The sequence below is a fragment of the Homo sapiens genome, chromosome X (genome assembly GCF_000001405.40).
Source record: "Homo sapiens chromosome X, GRCh38.p14 Primary Assembly".
In the NCBI taxonomy this organism is placed as follows: domain Eukaryota; kingdom Metazoa; phylum Chordata; class Mammalia; order Primates; family Hominidae; genus Homo; species Homo sapiens.
In genome coordinates, this window is record NC_000023.11 from 57,921,470 (window position 1) to 57,939,499 (window position 18,030).

Sequence of the window (18,030 nt, forward strand, 5' to 3'; positions counted from 1 at the left end):
GCTTTAAAAGGAACCCCCTCCTGGCAAGTAGGCTACCTGCTTGGAAGGGGGTTAATTAAAGGGATTAATTAAAGGGATAATTCCCCTCTTAACTATTAAAATTGGCTCAGTTTTGCTAAAAATATGCTTCTGTCCTGCTTGCCTCCCCTCCAAGATTATCCATTTCCCCATTATTGGAAGAGACCTCCTGAGGCCGCAGATAAACTCATGACATAAGACTAAGGTTTTTATGCTACTGGTGGGCACTTCCCGGAGGGAACCAGTTAACCTGCCCCTCCTGGTTCAGGTGGTTCATATACCACAGCAGAAGCTGAAGCAGGACACTGAAGGATTATGGCCTGTCACAGGTGACATAGATAAACAAGGAACACTGACTCCTACTACCTCACCTATCAATTCCCCATATGGCCTGCCCTAAGAGACACTACTAATCAGTGGAGACTATAGACCATAGAGAGTTCAGCAGGGCTGTTTCCTTTATTAGAGCACCTGTATAGGACATTGTTGCCTTAATGGGTGTCATTCAAAACATCAGTGGTAAGTTTATATTAATCCAGGGCATCTAAAGCCACCAGAATTTGAATCTGGAGTTGTAGACTTGGCTAACATGTTCTGTTTAGTAAAAATTTCACAGTTGAGTCAAACACATTTCACTTCCACCTTTGAGAGTCAATAGTACGCCTTTACCCACTTGCTTTTGGGGTATTTGTTTCCCCTCATCTTCATTGTGATGCTAGCTTTTTGGGGGATACTTAATAGCCCTCCAATTGCACAGTCATTGCCAACAGGACATAGACACCTGCCCCTCAATTTCACCAGAAACTATGCTTTGGCATTATATCGGTGACATCCTCCTCGCAGAACCTGACCAAGACTCTGTTTCACAGTTGATCACAACCCTCAGTAAACCACCTCTCACTGAGAGTGGATTGGCAATTACACCATGTAAGGTATAAGTCTGTAAAATTTGAAGGCTACACTAGGAACTCGGAAGGGTGTTTTTCCACTCCTGCCTGTTCAGACCTCAGAATACTACACTTTCCTCCTGCCTGTTCCCAAGCCAAGGACCAAGGACTACAGGCCAGTACAGGACTTGTGCTTGGTTAATCAAGCTACAGTGAGTTTACATCCAACAGTGCCTAACTGTACATGTTGTTAGGGTTGCTGTCAGCTGAGGACAGCTGGTTCACCTGCTTGGACCTGAAAGACTCTTTCTTTAGCATCAGACTAGCCCCTGAGAGCCAGAAACTGTTTGCCTTTCAGTGGGAAGATCTGGGGTCGGGTGTCACCACTCAGTACAGTTGAACCCGCCTTCCCCAAAGGTTCAAGAACTCCCCCACCATCTCTTCGAGGAAACATTGGTTCGGGACTTCCAGAAGTTTCCTGCCAGAGACCCAGGGTGCGTGTTGCTCCAGTACGTCGAGGACCTTCTGCTAGGACACCCCACAGCAGTCGGGTTTGCCAAGGGAACGGATGCCCTACTTTGGCACCTGGAGGACTGTGGGTATAAGGTGTCCAAGAAGAAAGCCTAGATCTGCTGACAGCAGGTACATCACCTGGGATTTACTATCTGACAGGCGGAGCACGGCCTGAGTTATCCGGTCTTGGTCTTGCCTCCTAAGTTTCAGGCGCTGCAGGTTTTACACTGCTGAGGTGGATCCAGGCCGGGATTCCTTCTACCTTCACAGCAGTGAGAGTGGTCAGGATGATGGGCTGGGGTCCTTCCCACCGTGCATGCAAAGGGGCTATGTTTCAGTCTTTGATCCACACTCGGTCACCTTTCCAGAACTTTGCGGTCGGTAGGCAGCATGCAGTTTCCATGTGATCCTCAATACCTTTGCTGTTTTCTGTACCAAGTCAGCCACAAACGCTGGCCCATTATCTGAGCCGATTCCTAAGGGCAGTCTAAATCTAGGAATAAGATCTCTACACTTTGACAGGACAGAAATAGTGTTCAGACTATTTCCAATCTGATAAAAGACAAGCTCCTCATGCTTAAACCGCTCACATCAGTAAAGAACCCCCAACATTCATTAGGAATTATAGCACAATGCCTTCCTCACCTCCAATATTTGCTGACCCTTGCTGAATTGTCTATCGAGACACCTGTAAAGCTTCCTTTTTTCAGTAGGGACCTGAACATCTACAGTCACTGGTTGAGCTAAAGGAGGCTAATACTTTGGCTCTCCCTCTAGTGCTCCCAAGGACAAGACTTGCAATTATAAGTTTCCACTGCTCCCAAATTTGCTTCCTGGAGCCTCTGGACCAAATGGACAGGTAAATGCCTACCCATGGGCTTTTGGTGTAAGTAGCTCTCAGCCTCAGCCTAAAGTATTCACTAGACAGACACCCACTGGCAGCATATGGGGCACTTATCAAAACTGAAGCCCTGGTGGGGCAGAGAAAATTACCCTATGGACCGAGATTCCTGTTATGCCCTGGGTAATGGACAGAGCTGCCCATAAAATTGGATCAGCAACAGAAGCTTCTTTATTAAAATGAAAATGGTATCTACAGGATTGAACTACACCTGGCCCTCCTGGAGTGTCACTACTGTGTGAGGAAATGGCCACATACTCTGTCAGTGAGGTTAACTTGCCAAAACCCCTGGAAATGCCCCTGGCTCTTGCTCATTGGGGAATGGAGGGAGTATGGCCAGCACTTTCATAACAAGAAAATTAATGTTTTTCTTTACCAATGGAGTGAGCACAGGGTATAAGGGAGTCAGATAAAGGACAGCAACAGCCTACTACCCTTATTCAAATACTCCAACTTCCATATGGGGATGGGCCAAAGTGCCCAATGGGCCAGGCTGTGTGCAACACCCCTAGAAATAGAGAAGGCCTTCGACAAACATTTTACTAAGTTTCACATTTTTGGCAACTCCTGGTCAGTGGCTAATAGGCTATTGGGTTGGGACTTGGACAAAATCAGGGCTGGAACATACAAGGCTGACACATTTGGGGTAAGGAGATGTGGGGGAAAATATCAGCACATTGGCCTCCACTCTGTGCATCTTTGTACACCATACCTCAGCTCACAGCAAACAATACAACCTGGAAGCTGACAAACTAGCTAAAGTACCAAAGTAGTTAATCCTTTTGAAAAGAGGGGAGACAGCAGAACTTTGGTAAGAGATACCCTTCACCCTATAAAGGAGAGGTCAGGGCATTTGGGCATCATGAGACCATGAAAATCAACTGTTAATGAGAAATAGACCCAGCAGAGAGACATTTACATGAAGCTGTTAGGGACCGTACCATAGACCAGAAATCTAGAGACTTGGACCTACTGCACAGGAGAAGGGCTATATCAGAGCTGGCAAATCCAGTCAATTTTATTGGGCCCCTCTCTGAAGCAGCAGGAACTATTACATATGCCACAACAATGTAGTAATTCCTACACAGGCTTACTCTTGGCTTACCCACGAAAGGCACCAAGCTCTGCTAATGTTATTGAGGAACTGATAAAATAGTTTGTATGGCCTTTGGGAGTACAAAAGTTACACAAAGTTATCCAGTCAGATCAAGACTCTCACTTCTCTGCAAAGAAGATTCAACCATAGGCATTACCAAAGAACACTGCTTGGATTTCTCATTTATTCTCTGGTCCTACAGTAGCAGGTGTCACAGAATGACAGAATGGGTTTTTTAAAACAAGGGATATTGAAAGAACATGCAGGACAATAGCATTCCCAGTAGCCAAAAATACTGCCCATAGTCATGCTTACATTAAATCCATACCTCTCTGGCATAACCGCACTGTATTTTAATTCACAGCAAATGAGGAGACCACCAACAGAGATGCTGCAACCTCTGGTGATGTATGTACCCACTGGACACAACATGATTTACTAGTATTAACAAACATGCGGGCCCTGAAGTGATCGCCCACAGCAAAGGAACTTGGCTCTTTCACCTCTTGCTTCTTCCTCATAGAAAATCCAGAGCCTGGTCATTTCTTTTCCCCTCAATCCTGACAAGGATCTGGCATGGACCACTCACTCTGGGTGCATTCTCAGTCTTAGTCTGTTCATTACCCAGAATAAAACTAGTAAACCACCCACCACCATCTGGAGAGGGAAGCATCCTCATTTTCTGCCCATGTACTTTGCTCCACTAAGGGCACTATGGAACAAACTTTGACCTGCTCTGGACACCCAGGAGATTGAACCAACAACCCTTGTATCCGGTAACACCATTTGGGTGACTCCCAGAGGACAATCAGATTCCCTACTGCTGGCTGCAAATGACCTCCAACATTTATGCCTATGCTGTTGTTCTGCCCTTTCCTTACCTGAGAAAGTTCCTACCTTCACCAATGTCAATTATACCTCGATTGGTGGATCACCCTATCCCTGGTAATCCACACCCTACTGCTGGCAGAGTATGTATGGAAACAGCATGCCTCATACACACCACAGGGACACCCAACATAGGTCAGACTGGGAACAAAGGGAACCATGCTCCCATTTCACTGGGTCAGTCCACAGACATCAGCACTGAGGTTAGCACTTCTCCTCCTCTCTCTACTACCACTTAGTAACATCCTTCCAGCTAAGTCAGATTGTACAATTTCACTTGTGACTCATAGATGCCTTCTAAGCTCTGTGGGCCGCCTTTTCCTTCACATCAGATGATACCCACTATTATTAACTCATGTGCCATTAAACAAATGGAGCAATGGGCCACTATCTATTGAGCCTCGTTTAAGGAATGCCCAGAGATAGTATGCACCAAATATTACAACCAGGATGCTTGTGATTGGTGTTGTTATTAATACTATAATCCAGATACAATACCCACAAGCCATTACGGGATTGCATAGATAAAATGATAGCTTTTTCTTATCCCTGGAATTATAATAAGTGCAATCGACACCCACAGTGTATACCTTTACAATTATTGGCTTCTAAGGCAATGCATACTACATGACATTACCTGGGCCAAGACATTTCTTAAAAAAAAAATCACACACACACACACACACACAAAACAACCAGCTTGGGAATTCTTCCCTAACCTAATCTTAATATACTAACTGCAAGTTTTACATAACACTCAATGGAAGTGAACTCTACAGCAATTGCAATGCTGGCTACCCACAGTGAACAACTCATAGCTCGTGGTGTCACAGCACAGACAGTTCTTACAAGAAACATATTTGATCTCAGGGAGAAATCTAACTACTGTTTGCATGGGAGTTTCTCCACCCACATTGATAACTATTTGCTTATAGCTATTGTGAAATTTGTCCAAAACCACAGTTATTAAAAACTTAGAAACTATTTGAGGGCAGTTGTTGCCCAATGTTACTTTTCTGAGGGCTCCTTAAAAATCCATACACACTCCAAACCTACAGAAGACATAAACGATAATGAGAAGACATGTAATGAAACTAACTTGGGAGGAATGTTTTCATCTTCATTAAAACATTTTTATGCCTTGTCATTTCTTTTTCAACTTTTATTTTAGATTCATTGGGCACATGTGCAGGTTTGTTACCTGGGTATATTGCATGATGCTGAGGTTTGGGGTACAAATGATCCCATCACCCAGGTATTGAGCATAGTACCCAACAGTTTGTTTTTCAACCCTTGCTCCCCTCCCCCGTCCCCCTCTAGTAGTCTCCAGTGTCTCAGTAGACACTTTATGTCCATGAGTACTTGGGAGGAAATTTATTGGTGTAGTCACACTGCCACCTCCCAAGGGGCCACTCCTGAGGTTATTAAAGGTATACAAACCTCTTCCCTATGAAAGTTTCCGCTAAAATGGAGTCCATAAAGCTTTTGGTCCCCCACTGAAACACAATAATGTTGCAATACAAGGGAACATAAAAGGGACCTATGCCTTGATACAATTGATATCTTTTTTTTTTTTTTTTTTTGAGACAGAGTCTGGATCTGTCGCCCAGGCTGGAGTGCAGTAACGTGATCTCGGCTCACTGAAACCTCTGCCTCCTGGGTTCAAGTGATTCTCCTGCCTCAGCCCCCAAGTAGCTGGGACTACAGGAGCATGCCACCACACCCGGGTAATCTTTTTTTTTTTTTCGTATTTTTAGTAGAGACGGGGTTTCACCATATTGGCCAGGCTGGTCTGGAACTCCTGACCTCGTGATCTGCCCACTTCGGCCTCCCAAAGTGCTGGGATTTCAGGCATGAGCCACTGTGCCCAGCTGATATCTATTTTTTTAAAAAATACTTGGTTTACCTGTTTTGTTCACTCATATGCGAGTGCCTCATAATTCAGAATCTAATTTGGTGTGTGGCTAGACTAACAACGTTCTTCTTGGACTGCCAATAACACCTGCAAAACCTATCCCACACTCATGGGAACACATCAATGCTATTTATTATTGGCAATCAACAGGAAACTCAAGCACAATGCACAACAGTCACAGCAAGGAGGAACATGCAATTGCCAACTACACCAAACGTGCCTATAGCCTTAGCCACAGCAACATATAAAATGGTAAATCTAACCTAATGCAGGGCTTGCTTCTGCCAACCTGATTTTAGAAAATATAGTGTAATACTTCTTCCCTGGCAACGCTGCATCATATACCTCACTTATTTAGATGAGCCGATTCTCCTAACCGTTGACATTCAATAACCTTATCCAGAGACTTATCTCACGTAAATGTATAGACAATGGTGGGCTGAGCCCATGACAAATTTAGTTAACCCAGGTGCTGAATGCAAGGTGGATAACACAAGCTTGTTTGACTATACCATTTTCTGCTCCTATTAACACAACCTGGAACTTCTGGAACTTCACAAAGCCATGTGAACTTCCCTTCAGTGGAACAGAGAATTCAGGCAGCAGAGGGAGCCTGGAGGTCCTGTAAAGGAATCAGATGGCTTCCCTATCACAATCTTCTCCTCATCCAACCCTGAAGAATATTTCCTGCACTTGGGATTGGTGCAAAATTCCAGTAGAATTTTATTCAACAGTGGAACCCCCTCCCTCAAGTACTTTCCGCCACCAAACCACACTAGATGTGACTCCCCAATGTCACAAATGAGCTTTCCAAATAGTTCCTCATGGTACTAACTTCCCTAGGATCACTAATTTTGGAGGCAGTAGGAACAGCATATGTGTGGAACAGCACACCACAATTAAGAGAAACACATAGCCATGTTGCAGGAATTACCCACAGAAATTAGATAAACAGCCCAAGGACTGAAACTCTTTGCTGAATCTCACTGTACTTTAGTGGCCATGGTGTGAGATAACTGCATAGCCCTAGGTCAGGCTGCTGGAGGGGTCACAGGGCACAGGGGCTGTGTGCTTGCTAAAATTATCTTCCTGCATGTGCGTAGATAACACCAAGTTTTACAGATAGCTGGGGTCATGTACCAAAGGGGATATAAATGCCACTCTATTGACTAAACGGACTGGTCAAAACAAAATTGTCTCCTTTCAAATTTATTCTACTGGCTGCCCAAGTGGGCAGATTGGCTGAGAACTGGCTTTTAAAATCCTAATTTGTAGCCTTATAGCATTCTGGGTCTTGAGGATGCTTCATCGCTGGCTCCCAACTGAGACTCCATGAAATAGCATACAACTTAGATTGTAAAACAACATGGGGCCAAGGCATGGACTGTTAAATAAGTGGATTAATATCTTTAGATGGTGCCTTGTATCTTGTTCCCTATATTCAGAGACAGCTAAGACCATTAGCTCAAAGCTCATTGGAACTAAAATCAAATGTTTACACACCCAATTGCTTTAAATATGGCCCCCAGTAAGCACATTTTTGGCCCTTTAGAACCCACCCACATTGCACCCTCTGTAAAACCAGACACACCATCTGCTAGCCGTAGATAGGACATACTCTGGGGCTGGACAAAAGCCCCAAGCCTCTGATGCCCATGGGAACTCTCTGACACAGAGACTCCACACCTGGCTGCTGAGTAACATCCCATAGACACATGAGCCTCCTGTCCAATTCTTCTCTCCTTTGGAAGTTGCCTTGAACTCTTCCTCTTCTGGGTGGTGGCCTCTTGCTGCTGCCTCTGGAAGGTCTCCTGCTGTGAGGGAAGTTCCACTCTCCTGAAACCTTTCAAAGGGCCAACCAAATAAAGCATGTTGTGTGCTACTGCCATCTAATGGTCATGACTTTTTCCTTGCTCAGCCCTGATATCCAGAAAATCAACACACATACTTAATGGCAAACTTTGTCAGAAGCCAAGATAGTGGAGAAACAATGGTCAGATATTGTTGAGATAATTGTCCATGGCCTTTCTACATTTATTGTAACAGCTTTTGTCTCTAACTATAGTTTGAAGAATACTTGTATGTCAACATTTGACTGGCTGCTCCTCATTTCTCCTGTGTGATTTGGGGCAGAGGGCAAGGGGAATTAATGCAAACATGAACCAAAACAAACTCTGACCCAAGAATCTCATATATTCTGCCAACATCTGTGAAACTGAGGTATGCTAGTTTGTGAGCTTGCAAGTAGGGTACAGTCTCAAACTCTTCACATTTCTTGCCAATTTTGGTAATGAAGATGAAACATAGCATTCTGGAAAGTGATAAAACAAGGGTGCTTCACTGGCCTGGTTAGGGGATATGAGAAGACTCCTCGGGATTGGAGAGCAAATGCTTTTTCCCGAATGGATTGGCACTAAGTGCATTAAAGGCCCTTCCCCACTCACTCTCCTACCTATTAATGAAGCTGAGGGGCAGGATGCAGAATTAAACCAAGCTGTTTGAATCATGGTTTGGTTGTTGTTCACTCTCCTCTGCATGGGAGGAAGAAGGGATGATGTCATGGTGCTGAGTCAATGACTTGCCAAACCTGAATAAGTGGCGTCAGCAGTGAAGATATAGAGTTTTCAGTGGAAAAAAAACCATCTGAAGTTTGTTTGGTTGAACCACACTGCTGGCTACTGGAAACCAAATGCAAACATGCCTTGCTTACTAGTATAGACAGAGTCTTTTCTCTCTCTCTCTCTGCATTTCCTAACTCCTGGTTCTCTTCCTTTTCTCACTTCAGGTGCTATAAGAAGAAAGATGATTAGTGGTGAGCCAGAAGTCTCTCTGTCCTCAAGACAGACTAAAAGGCATATGCATGGTAGGGTACTTCAGGAAAGGGACGGACTCACATGTTCACAGAACTGTTACATATAATCTCCCATGACACTATCTTATCTGATTTTCTGGGGAGTGGAGGGAAGGGGTAATAGGTATGAGGTAGATGAAAGCACCAAGACTGTGGAGCAGAGCTGCTGGGGAAATCAAGGGACAGAATGGAAGAATCCCTGAGCCCTTACAGTTCTGCACAAATGGAGGTACACAGGAGAGGATTTAGCATACAAGCTGGGGCAAAGAGCCAGAGGGATTACAAAAAAGGCTTACAGTCCCCACCCCTCGCCTCATCCCAAGACTCCCCTGCAATCCCTACATTCTGGCCTGGACATAGGGAAATCCCCTAACAGCTCTTGCTGTAACCCCTGAAATTCCTGTAGTGAACTCTAGGTCTGAGTTCATTTAAGGGAAAAAAGTCCAGAAAAGCAATTGTTGGGGTTTGGGCATGGTTCACAGTGGGGTTTGGAAGCCAATATGACTTTGTACAGGGACGCCTTTGGGAAAGTTGAATAAACTGTTCTTGTTGCTTCTACTTATAAATGGCAGGATTTGATGGGTCATATGCTTGTAATTTCTCATTCTACAGGTCTCATATAAAGTCATCCCCATCACAGAGAGACAGAGGTAGAGGGAAGTGTTAGTGGAACAAACTCCAATGAGATTTGTCAGCAGTGGTTGGCTCAGGATTTAGCATTAGTGTCTCTACCTTCTAATGTTCAATATTTTCACTATATACATAATAATTGTGTCAGCTGGCCGGCTAGAAGTCTCAGTCTCAAGGGTCCTCAATGCAGTGTTATTACATATCTGTCAGCAAGGGTGGCTGATTTATGCTCCCAAATACAGGGGCCTGCTTGCCAAGTAATCTCTTGGGACTAAGCAGGCAAATTCACAACATTAGATCCCTCTAACAGGAAAAAATTGACGTCTCTTCATACAACCTGCCACCGAAAAAGAGGCTCAGAACCTCAATCAACTCCTTGAATATTACATACAGGACAAATCTGTGTAACTGATGATTTTGCCGATGGGGGCACCTGGCAAGGGGAAGCAGTCAACACCCAGAGAGATCCCTTGGGGAACTGGACTTGTTGCCTCCCTAATATGGCTACAGGGTACATCCCTTTTGAAAAGCAGCTAATGGCTTGCAATTGGGATTCTGTCAAAACTGAACAATCGATTCATGGAGAATTTGTTACCATCTGGCTCGATATTTCCATCTTTGAGTTGGTCAACTCAGACTCAATGACTAGCAGGTAGGAAGGGGTCAATAAGCTTGGCTTATGAAATGGAAACGGTAAAATCAAGAACAGTCATCTGATCCCACAGACATTTCTTTTTTATTATATTTATTTTCTTCATGTTTGAGAAATATTTTTTGTCAAGATGTCCCAGAAGGCAACATTTTAAAATTGGGCAATCAATAATACAAAATTTCAGATAAACTTGCCTTTCCAAATAAATCAGACCCTTGAAACAGAAGAAGCACCCAAGGGTTTCTTTTTTTTCTTTTACAAAACAGTTAACTCCACTTTGCAAAATGCGTACAAAAATACAATATATTAAAAAGACTGCCCCAACATAATACCCAACAGCAGCTTATAAAACCAAGCTATTCATGTAGGACATTAGTAACCTACACCTGGCCTGTTCTCCCTCCATAGACAGTTCCAGAAGTCAGTTGGTTCCTGTAAACTACCATGCTCCTGAAGGGTAGAGAGGCTATTTCAAAACATCCTCTGGGATTCTCTGAGGCCACGAAGCAACCTCAGAAAGAAACCATTATGGAAAATAGATTTGAATGTAGCAGCTGGTTTTCCAGAGCCACAGATAGTACTTATCACCCCCCATCCCTTTCCAAATTCAGAACCATCAAGCACCTGCTATTTTGGGCAGAGTTCTGGAGGGGCTTGTCCTTTTTCCAGGACAGGGTTAGGGGTTCCTGAGGTTACCCACATGACAACTGCTGGGCTGGATGTCTTTCCCGGAATGGAGGCTGTACCTGGATTCTCCTTGGACATGCAGAGTCCAGCTGGGGCAAAAATCCATCATGATTGGCTAAGCAGAGCTCCTGCAGGCTCCTTTAAAACATACCAGGAAGCAAGTCCACCTTCTGGAAAAGAAATATGACTCATGGCAGGCTGGTAGGGAGCCAAGTATGCTGCAGACCCCACAAGTTCCTTGGAGATGCCCAAGGTGGACGTGTTTGCATGGTTCCGGTAGAATTTCACACTCATCAGTCAAAGATTGAGATGAGAGCTTCATGGAAAAGAGGAAGCGGTACAGTTCTCCCTTCTGAGGTGACTTACATCTGCCTTGAGAAGAGATTATAAGATGGGTGGCCTCAAGTGCCACTCGGACAGGGAACAAGTTCAGGAGCCAGGACTCCAAGATTTCCTCAGGCCCCAGGCTAGGATCCCCACTTCCCTGTAACTTGGGGAAACATTTCTAACCTGTGGGAAAGGATGCTGTAAAGCCCATTGCACAACAAAGGCAAAATGAAACAAAAGTCTCTCATGAGGACAGAAAGGTCCCTTCATCAGAGAAGGCCCAGAGAGCTCTGAGACAACGAACCTAGAGTGCAAGCTCTTTAAATGTTCTCAGGGTCTCAGCATTGAAACTGGAAGGAGAGGTGTCAGCTAATATCACAATATATACGTTAAAGGTTTCCAACTCCTCAGATACTGTAAAGTGTCTGACAGTGAAGCAATGGTCATGTTGATCAAATCTTCAAGCTTGTCATCACCCAAGACAGCTTGTGTGTCTCCTGGAAAAAAAAGCCACAGCGAGAGTGCTGTCCAGGCCCAGCTGTCCTTGCATGACCCCAGACATACCAGGGAGCATTCTAGCATCACCCCAGAGATACCAGGGAGCATTCTTTCCTAGTCTAAGGCTCACGCGGAGTGTGAGATTTCATGCAGGCTGGAGTCCCCGACAACATACACCACCTGTTGCATAGTATCTGTCAGCCTTTTCTTCGGAGCTAGTGAGGTAAACAGACCCCAAATCTCCTCAGTCAGCTATCTGCTGAGAAGCCAAAGGCGCCAGAGAAGACACAGCATGAGTCAGGGGAGAGAAAGAGCTGGGTTTCAAGGTTTCCAAGAATGCAAGCCCTTATTCTGTGTGTACTGGCTGCAATGCATTCTGGGACCTACTGCAAAGACTGTCCCGTCATAACCAAAATGTGAAAATTACTAAAGGGGAAGGGGAGGTCAAAAAATAAACTTGTGTCTTTGTAAGATAGAACAGTCAGGCTTTTTGGTCAGTTAGTAGCCACTGAGGTACGCAATTCATTTCTGCAATTGCTGTTGCTGGCGTTGGAGCTGCGTTTTCTCCATAGACATCTTTTTCTCGGTTCACGCCAGGTCTTGCAAGTATCCCAAGGCCTTGCTTAGGATCACTACCGTGGGGACCTTAGAGCAGCTGGCCAAGGTGGGTACCTGGTCCCTCAGGGCCAAGAACTGAGAACGCGCAGGTCATTCCACCTCTTGTGCTGCAGGAAGCTGTGGCCCTTCCTCTTGGTCACATCCTCAGTGTCAGAACTGGCAGCACTGGGCAGCCTTGCTTTCTATAGGTGAGGGGCTCACAATCCCCTCATCCTCCTCATCTTCCGTTTCCCCTGGAGCATCTCCCTCCAGAACCTCTTCTTGGAGACCTCTCTCTGGAGCCTCTTCTTGGGAGCAGCTTTCTGGAGAAATATGGGCAGCGCAGTTGTGTTGTTGCTGGTGGATGGAGGTATGGAAGTGTTTCATGCAGGGGTTCAGACGGTCTACTCGAACCATGATGGTGATCGACTTCTGTAAACCCAATCTGCCTTTTCTTTGCTGTCACAAGGTCAATTTCCTCACCCTCTGAGTTGTTTGGGTTCTCAAATCTGGAGCAGGCCTGAGTCTTGGCCTTGCCCAGAGTCCAGGGAGCAGTGGGCGCTGGATTGCCGTCTTCGAGGCTGGGAGGGCAGTCTGGGGAGGAGGGCACCTTGGGCGGGTTCCCCCAGGGCGCGCCAGTGGCGAGCCAGTCGCTCCCCGCTCTCTACAGCTGTTCCCAGGCCAAATAGCTGCTCCACATGCAGTCACGATGGACAATGGATGCATGGTTCCTGCCCCAAGCTCTCGAGTGGCCCCGAGATTCCGTCTCATCCCCGGCGCACTCTCCGGATCACGGCTCTGTGCGATCAATCCCAGGGTCTGGGTCCCTGGCGCTGGGATCCTAGTCTCAGGGCGGAAATGCGGGGGTGGGTTGGTGGGTGGGCGATGGCATCAACTCGAATTTCTTCTGCATCTCTGCTTTATATGTAAGAGTGGCAACTGTCTCTCTGGGGGAAACTTAACCTTTTATTCTCCTGCTTGAAACAACACTACTAGTTCAATTGGACCCTGTTTACAGAGGTTTCCCCAAATATCTGGGCTTGCCTCAGTGAAGGATTGGCTAAGCTGAAAACTGATGGTGTTCACTGGCTCCTGTGTCTGTTCAGCCTCTGAACCAGCTATGCAGAAATAAAAAGAGGACTTGGTTTCTCTGCTCAATGGTCAGAACCCAATTCTTGGGACACTACCAATGGTCCAGCCTTTTGGTATGCCACTTGGAAAACTAGTCTGTCAGATTAAAGACTTCTTTGGGACCGCATGTGGAAACAAATCTTGACTACTTACTGAACTGCCTGGATTCCTCATATACAGACCCATGGCAAGGGCTCATTCTCTGATGAGACTAACTAATCAAGGGGATGATTGGGCCTGACTTTATATATCTAATGCAGAATCTCCTGCTGCATGCCAGATCTGTGACTCCTGACAAAAGCTGACACATGTGTTTCATGGCGTGGAGACGTCATTACATAAGTTGTGGCAACCTCTCAACTCTGATGGATCTGACTGTTGACTCTCCTCTTGGGGCTTTTGAATATGCCTCACCACTGTTGAGCTTTTTTCAGATTACAATGTTGCTATTCCAGTCTGATCAAGCACACTATTGTGCCCCTTAAAAACAATCCATGCTATGTTTTTGCATTAGAGAATATTTTTATTCTGCCAATGGTGTATTTTATTGCAAAAGCCACTCAGTAATGACCTAATAATAAAGACGGACCATCGATGAATCTTACTGTCCATGGGCATCTAATATTACTGAGCAATAGCATGGTGGCCTTCTCATAATTGATTCAAAAATATCACTGACTCTACTTTCCTCACCATCTCTTGATCCACACACATTAGTAAGGAAGTTTGTTTACTGAATGTTGCTGTTCTTAGAAAAGGATCATCTCCTCTAGACTGCTTCCTGGGTAGGGACCAGGATGAAAGGAATACAGAGACTTTATTGGAAAATTTAGGATTCCTTCCAGATCTGTTCATTCCAAGTCCAGATGTTTCTTTCTTTCCTCTAACAGCAGCCCCAGGCCAGCCTGGTTGGTATACACTGTAGGGCTGACCAAAACTGGGAATAGGAGATTCAAACTTGCTGGTTGAAGTTTTAAAATTTTTATAAAATACATTTTATTTTGTTTTAAATTGATGTATAATTGTACATATTAATGGGATACAGTGTGATGTTTTGATACATATATATTGTGTAATGATCAAATCAGCATAATTAGCATATGTCTATCACCTGAAACATTTGTCATTTCTTGGTGGTGAGAACGTCCAAAATCCTCTCGTCTAACTATTTTAAAGTACACAATACATTATTGTTGACTACACTCAACCTACTGTGCAGTCGATTATCAGAAATTATTTGTCCTATATAAGTGTAACTTTGTAGCTGTTGAGCAACCTGTTCCCCTCCCCCTCGCAACTACTCTCCTCAGTTTCCGATAGCCACTACTAAACTCTCTTTGAGGTCAACTTTTTTAGATGCCACATATGCCTGAGATCATGTGGTAGTTCTCGTTCTGTGCTTGGTTTATTTCACTTAACATAAAGTCCTCTAGGTTTGTCCACATTGTTGCAAATGACAGGGTTTCATTCTTTTTGTTGTTGTTGTTTTGTTTTATTTTGTTTTTATTATAGCATTGCTTTCTTTTGGGCATACTTTATCATCTTCCTAGAGTTCTTATCCTATTATAGTCCTTAATCATTTTTACTTTTTTATTATTATTATTATACTTTTAGTTTTAGGGTACATGTGCACAATGTGCAGGTTAGTTACATATGTATACATGTGCCATGCTGGTGTGCTGCACCCATTAACTTGTCATTTAGCATTAGGTATATCTCCTAAAGCTATCCCTCCCCCCTCCCCCCACCCCACAACAGTCCCCAGAGTGTGATGTTCTCCTTCCTGTGTCCATGTGTTCTCATTGTTCAATTCCCACCTATGAGTGAGAACATGTGGTGTTTGGTTTTTTGTTCTTGCGATAGTTTACTGAGAATGATGACTTCCAATTTCATCCATGTCCCTCCAAAGACATGAACTCATCATTTTTTATGGCTGCATAGTACTCCATGGTGTATATGTGTCACATTTTCTTAATCCGGTCTATCATTGTTGGACATTTGGGTTGGTTCCAAGTCTTTGCTATTGTGAATAGTGCCGCAATAAACATACGTGTGCATGTGTCTTTATAGCAGCATGATTTATAGTCCTTTGGGTATATACCCAGTAATGGGATGGCTGTGTCAAATGGTATTTCTAGTTCTAGATCCCTGAGGAATCGCCACACTGACTTCCACAATGGTTGAACTAGTTTACAGTCCCTCCAACAGTGTAAAAGTGTTCCTATTTCTCCACATCCTCTCCAGCACCTGTTGTTTCCTGACTTTTTAATGATTGCCATTCTAACTGGTGTGAGATGGTATCTCATTGTGGTTTTGATTTGCATTTCTCTGATGGCCAGTGATGGTGAGCATTTTTTCATGTGTTTTTTGGCTGCATAAATGTCTTCTTTTGAGAAGTGTCTGTTCATGTCCTTCACCCACTTTTTGAGGGTTTCATTCTTTTTTAAAGATTGAATAGCATTCCATTGTGTATATATACCATATTTTCATTCCTGTTTCATCTGTTGATGAGCACTTAAGTTGATTCCATATTTTGGCTATTGCAAATAGTGTTGCAATAAACATGGGGATCTGAACTCTTTGATATGTTGATTTCATTTTTGGGGGGGAGGGGGATCCAGCAGTGGGATTGCTGGATAATATAGTAGTACACCAAGTGTATAGCATTGTATAACAGTTCACTTTTCTCCACATCCTTACCAGCATATGTTATTTCTTGTCTTTTTTTTTTTTTTTTTTTTTTTTTTTTTGGCAGATCCTTGCTCTGGCACCCAGGCTGGAGTGCAGTGGTGCGAACTCAGCTCACTGCAACCTCTGCCTCCCCAGTTCAAGCAATTCTCGTGCCTCAGCCTCCTGAGTAGCTGGGACCACAGGCATGTGCCACCATGCCCAGCTAATTTTTTGTATTTTTAGTAGAGATGGGGTTTCGTCACGTTGGCCAGGCTGTTCTTGAACTCCTGGCATTAAGTGATCTGCCCTCCTTGGCCTCCAAAATGCTGGGATTACAGGCATGAGCCACCATGACTGGCCATTTTCTTGTCTTTTTATTTTATTTTTTTAAATAATAACTATTCTAACTGGGATGAGTGGATAGCTCACTGTGGTGTTGATTTGCATTTCCCTGGTTCTTAGTGATGTTGAGCCTTTTTTCATATACTTGCTGCCCATTTGTGTGACTCCTTTTAAGAAATATCTATTCGAATCCTTTGCCCAAGTTTTGATTGGATTATTTGTGTGTTTCCTATTGAGTTGCTTGCATTGATTACATAGTTTCATATTAACCTCTTGTCAGATGCATAGTATGTGAATATTTCTTCATTCTGTAGGTCATTTCTTCATTCTGTTGTTTCCTTTAAGATGTAAAAGCTTTTTGGCTTGATATTATCCCATTCATCTATTTTAGCTTTGGTTGTTTGTGCTTTTGAGGTCTTATTTGAAAAATTCTTTCCCAGACCAATATCATGAATTGTTTCCCCTGTGTTTTCTTCAAGGATCTTCTTAGTTTCATGTTTTATATTCAAGTCTTTAATCCATTTTGAGTTGATTTTTATATGTTGGGAGAGAGAAGCACCTAGTTTCTTTCTTCTGCTTGTGGATATTCAGTTTATCCAGCACCATTTATTGCAGAGACTTTCCATTCCCCAATGTGTTTTCTTGGTACATATGTCAAAAACTAGTTGGCTATAATTGTATGGATTCATTTTTGGGGTCTCTATTCTCCTCCATCAGTCTATGGATCTGTTTTCATGTTAGTACTATGCTATTTTGTTTACTATTGCTTTGTAGAAAATTTAAAAGCCAGGTAGTGTAATGCATCTAGCTTTGTTCTTTGTGCTCCAGATTGCTTTGGCTGTTTGGAATCATGTGGTTCTGTGCAAATTTAGTATATATATATTTCATATATATACTATATATGTATATATATTTTATGTATTATATATAGTATATATATATACATACTATATAAATATATAGTGTATATATTATATATACTATATAAATATATATATACACTATATATATAGTATATAAATATATAGTATATATAATATATATTTATATACAATATATAATAATATAGTATATAATATATATTTATATACAATATATAATAATATATATAATATATATAATAATATATATTATTAATAATATTAATAGTATATAATCATATAATATTATAATCATATATAATATTCATATTATATATTATATTTATATATACATTTTATATATTAAAAAATATATATATTTTACTTCTGTGAGGAAAGTCCTTAGTATTTTGATAGAGATTGCATTGTATCTGTACATTGGTTTGGGTAGTATGGACATTTTAACAACATTAACTCTACAAATCTATGAGCATGGGTTAACTTTACATTTATTAGTATCCTCTTCAATTTCTTTCATCCATATTTTATTATTTTTTACTGTAGAGA

The 18,030-nt window shown here is 43.0% G+C and overlaps 1 pseudogene; it reads right to left on the bottom strand.

Moving 5' to 3' along the window:
- On the bottom strand, positions 10,457–13,368 carry MYCLP2 (MYCL pseudogene 2; annotated as a pseudogene).